The sequence below is a fragment of the Homo sapiens genome, chromosome 4 (assembly GCF_000001405.40).
Source record: "Homo sapiens chromosome 4, GRCh38.p14 Primary Assembly".
Lineage (NCBI taxonomy): Eukaryota > Metazoa > Chordata > Mammalia > Primates > Hominidae > Homo > Homo sapiens.
This window is the reverse complement of record NC_000004.12, coordinates 58,493,545-58,498,254: the sequence shown is the minus strand read 5'-3', so window position 1 is coordinate 58,498,254 and position 4,710 is coordinate 58,493,545. Positions and strand designations below refer to the sequence as shown.

General features: G+C 41.8%; 1 annotated feature.

Annotated features, from left to right (window-relative positions):
- Nucleotides 3,819–4,399: an enhancer, noted in NCBI's record as "OCT4-NANOG hESC enhancer chr4:59360022-59360602 (GRCh37/hg19 assembly coordinates)". NCBI's record gives its function as "activates a minimal SCP1, AML or CMV promoter by ChIP-STARR-seq in naive H9 embryonic stem cells {active_cell/tissue: H9 hESC(naive)}" and the evidence as "EXISTENCE:reporter gene assay evidence [ECO:0000049][PMID:30033119]".

The window sequence follows — 4,710 nt, the reverse complement described above, 5'->3', positions numbered from 1 at the left end:
ACGAGCCTATGAAACTCACATAGAAGATTTTATGAAATTTGTCTAATTGCATGTGCTACTTCCAAAATGAAAATATACTCCAAGAGAGTATATTTTGTCTACAGCTATCCTAAGAACTTGCATAATCTACTTCATCATGATTTATCTAGAGTGGAATTGACCCTGCTTTGTGCCTATTTTCTCTATGTTACTTTAAGCAAAGGAGCTAACTTAAGAATAAGACTTCCCTGAACCTTGACCTCAAGAGTTAAGCATCTGGCAAGACTCTTTGTTGTTTTTTTAATTTATTAATATTAGTCTCTTAGAATGTGCTACTTTAATAAATTACAGCAAAAATAAATACAAAGCAAAAATAGGCTGAGATACCCTAGCTTTGCAGATTCCAATGAAAATGGCTCCCATCCTGTAAGTCCCTGGGTTGTTCCTCTGACAATGCTTAGTATTTTGGAAAAGGATGCCATATTATTTTAGGGGACACACATTTAAGAAGTAACATGATGTTACCATAGAGGAATGCCTATTTTTTGTTGTTTTGAATTTTATCTTTTATTTTAAAAAAACCTGTGCAAAATCTGATTGTACAGAATAAAAATGAATCAACAGAGGGCTCCATTTTTCTAATAATATCTTGTTAATAAAATCATACGTTAAAAAAAGAAAGCCCCTCAAATGGAAAGAGTAAGTTTAAAGAGACACACACAAAAAAGGTGAAAGAAGAATGAATTAGACACCCACTGTAGTATTAAAACCAAGAGAATTTTAAAGTGGAGAACAGTTAGAATTTTATTTTTGAAGTGTACAGTGCTTTAGAGGCTTCCATTTTGCTACTGAATATTTTAAAACCTAGTAAAAGCAGATTATTTAAATAAATTAAACAGTTTATATAAATATCTTTTTTCTGCCAGAGTTAAATCACCATGGCAGAAAGGGGGAGGAGACTCTTGAGAATCCAGTGGGAGAAATGACACATTATTCTTTCAAAGTTACAGCTTTGAGGTATGATATTACACATTAGAGTACAACAAACTCAGTATTAACGTAAAAGGGCTGGATGCAGTGTCTCACGCTTGTAAACCGAATACTTTAGGAGGCTGAGGTGGGAGGATCTCTTAAACCCAGGAGTTTGAGACCACCCTGGGTAACACAGAGATACCCTGTCTCTAAAAAAAATAAAAAATTAGCCAGTATGGTGGCATACACCTGTACTCCTAGCTGTTCAGGAAGCTGAGATGGGAGGATCACTTGAGCTTGGGAGGTTGAGGCTTCATTGAGCCACTATCGTGCTGAGAGACAGGACTAGCTGGACTACAGGACTAGCTGGATTTCCTAGGCTGACTAAGAATTCCTAAGCCTAGCTGGGGAAGGAGACCACACCCACCTTTAAACACCGGGCTTGTAACTCAGCTCAAACCCGCCCCATCAGGTAGTAAAGAGGGCTCACTAAAATACCAATTAGGCTAAAAGCAGGAGGTAAAGAAATAATGAAATCATCTATCACCTGAGAGCACAGGGGGAGGGACAATGATCGGGATACAAACCCAGGCATTTGAGCCAGATGGGCAAACCCATTTGGGTCCCCTCCCATTGTATGGAAGCTCTGTTTTCACTCTGTTAAATCTTGCAACTTCACATTCTTCTGCTCCCTGCTTGTTCCAGCCTGAGCTGAGCTATCGCTCGCCGTCCACCACTGCTGATCGCCATTGTTGCAGACCCGCTGTTGACTTCCACCCCTCTGGATCTGGCGGGATGTCTGCTGCGTTTCTGATCTAGGGAGGCGCCCATTGCCGCTCCCGTTCAGGCTAGAGGCTTGCGGTTGTTCCTGCGCAGCTAAGGGCCCGGGTTCGTCCTAATCGAGCTGAACACTAATCGCTGGGTTTCGCGGTTCTTTTCTGTGACCCACGGCTTCTAATAGAGCTGTAACACTCACCGCATGGCCCAAAGTTCCACTCCTTGGAATCCGTGAGGCCAAGAACCTCAGGTCAGAGAACAAAAGGCTTGCTGCCATCATGGGAGTGGCCGCCACTATCTTGGGAGCGGCCCATCACCATCTTGGGAGCTCTAAGAACAAAGACCCACTGGTAACATTGCCACTGTACTTCAGCCTGGGTGACAGAGACATCTGGAGCTCTAAGATTGGACCCCAAAGGAGGACATTCCATGGGTTCAGCAAACCTCAAGAGACCCTGTCTCTTAAATAAGTAAATGAATACATAAAATAAAAAAAGGTAAACCATATACCAGCCGACAAACGAATACCTGGCATTATAAATGTGAAATTATGGCACTGAGGATGGAAATAGAATCTAGAGGCAGGAAACACAAGGCCCATTCACACTTCAGCTGTAACACAAAATGTCCTCTCTATAGGGCATACCCTGTAAGTGACTTTGTAACTTTACTTCATCCTCTTCATTTAGATAAGCCGTATCCCAAGTAGAGGGTATTTAAACTCACAAAAGCTCTGTAACAGGGCCCTTGAGCCCCTATGCTCAGGCCCGCTCCCACACTGTGGAATGTACTTTCTTTTTCAATAAAACCCTTCATTCATTCGTTGCTTTGTTTGTGTGTTTTGTCCCATTCTTTGTTCAGGATGCCAAGAACCTGGACCCCCACCTCCGCCACCATTAACATATTTTGGCGAGCCATCCTGGAGGAAGAGGTAGGCCCTAAGTTTGGGATTCATTTTTCTCCCTTTCCTTTCTGCTTCATTCAGGGTCTCTCTCTCTCTCTCTCTCTCTCATTTCCTTTCCAACTTGGGACCCTTGGAGGGCAGCACCTAAACACTGAAGCAACTGCAGGTTTCTGGCCGTGGCCAATGAAACTAAGGGGTTTTCATGTGGAGAAGCCTAACTGGCACCGCCCGCTTTGCTTAAGGGAATCTGGGTCTTTTTTTATTTTTATTTTTTTCCTCTCTTTCTTTTTCAGTCCTACAGTGGCTTTTTCCTAGTTTCTCCTTGGAAATTGAGGGCAATTGGCTGGGGTTACTCCCCAGTATTGCCTGAAGGCCTGGGAATAAATGGGAATAATTGCTCTGCCCCGAAGGGGTAAGGATGTTTTTAAAAAAATTCTTTTCTGAGCATGGTTCCTAATCCCTATGGTGATGCAGCTCTGAGCAAACTCACACGTGTTTCAGGCAACTTAAACCTTCTTTTCATATACTAAATCCTTACCTTACCATACTCAACTGGCTAAGGAACAAAAGGCTCACAGGACATCCAGTTCTCATTACAGTTCATGGCTGTTCTTAAAAATCTCATGGTACGCTTTGGAGGGGAAACCTGCATGTGGCGCGCACCCCTAAGGCCAGAGACATCTGGAGCTCTAAGATTGGACCCCAAAGGAAGACACTCTGTGGGTTCTGCAAACCTCAAACTCTCCAAAGAGTATGCTCTTGGCAGAGGTTCTGAGGTCTAGTATTAAAACCTCCTTAGAATTTTTTCTCGCAGTTGCAATGCTGCTTGGCCCCAAAATTGTTTGGAATCTGAAGTTGACTGTCTAATTGGAAAGTGGGGTGATGTTGCATGTATACAGGCTTTTGTGCTGCTCTTCCAAGCAGTGGGCCTGGTTAACGTTTGGCACCCTTCTTTGGTACTGTTTGGCCCTAGTGCTCCTTGGAGTCTGGGGAGGTTTAGCCTTTAAAAATCAAACTGCTTTACCTGGAATTTTGTTTCACAGCCTTCCTTGGATTATCTATTGGGGCAAAGTAAAACTGGCAAGCTTGTATTGCTGTCTCAGGCTAAGGTTCCAAGCTACTGGATCTTCATTTATGTGTGTGTGTGTGTACGTGTCTAGATGTGTTTACTTGTATGTACACTAAATTGTTATATGCCATGTCTACCAAATTGGCTTATAAGTAAAAGAGCACTCATAAATTAAGTAAATAAGTCTAAGCAATTTTCAAGTTCATGTGACTTAAAGTATAACTTTACTAAACAAACTAGCTTTAAAATTATTGGTGGAATAAAAACAGAAATGCCTTTGGAATTGTTAGCATACATTTTGTCTAAATTTTATGTTTGTCTTTGCTAGATATTTTAAAATAGTGTTAATTCAAGCTGGGAGCTGCCCTGGGTGAGCCTGCCTCCCATTCTATTCAGAGTCTTACTGAGATAAATGCATATCTGATTGCTTCTTTTGGAAAGGCTAATCAGAAACTCAAAAGAATGCAACCCTTTGTCTCCCACCTGTGATCTGAAAGACCCCCAGCACCCCCTTCACCTGGAGTTGTCCTCCCTTTCTGGACCAAACCCATGTTTGTTTTATATATGTTGATTGATGTCTCATGTCTCCCTTGTTAAAAGTAAAAATTAAGTACAGTGAATGACATAAACGTTTTAGGTAAACTTTTTATGTAAATTAAAATCTTAGGGTTATTTTTAATGCTTATTTAATATATGGGTCATTTCCAAATAAGAAGAGTTGTAATATTGAAAGACAGGACTATCTGGATTTCCTAGGCCGACTAAGAATCCCTAAGCCTAGCTGGGAAAGTGACTGCTTCTACCTTTAAACACAGGGCTTGCAACTTAGCTCACACCCAACCAATCAGATAGTTAAGAGAGCTCACTAAAATGCTAATTAGGCAAAAACAGGAGGTAAAGAAACAGCCAATCATCTGTTGCCTGAGAGCACATCAGGAGGGATAATGATCGAGATATAAACCCAGGCAATCTAGCCGGCAACGGCTACCCTCTTTGGGTCCCCTCCCTT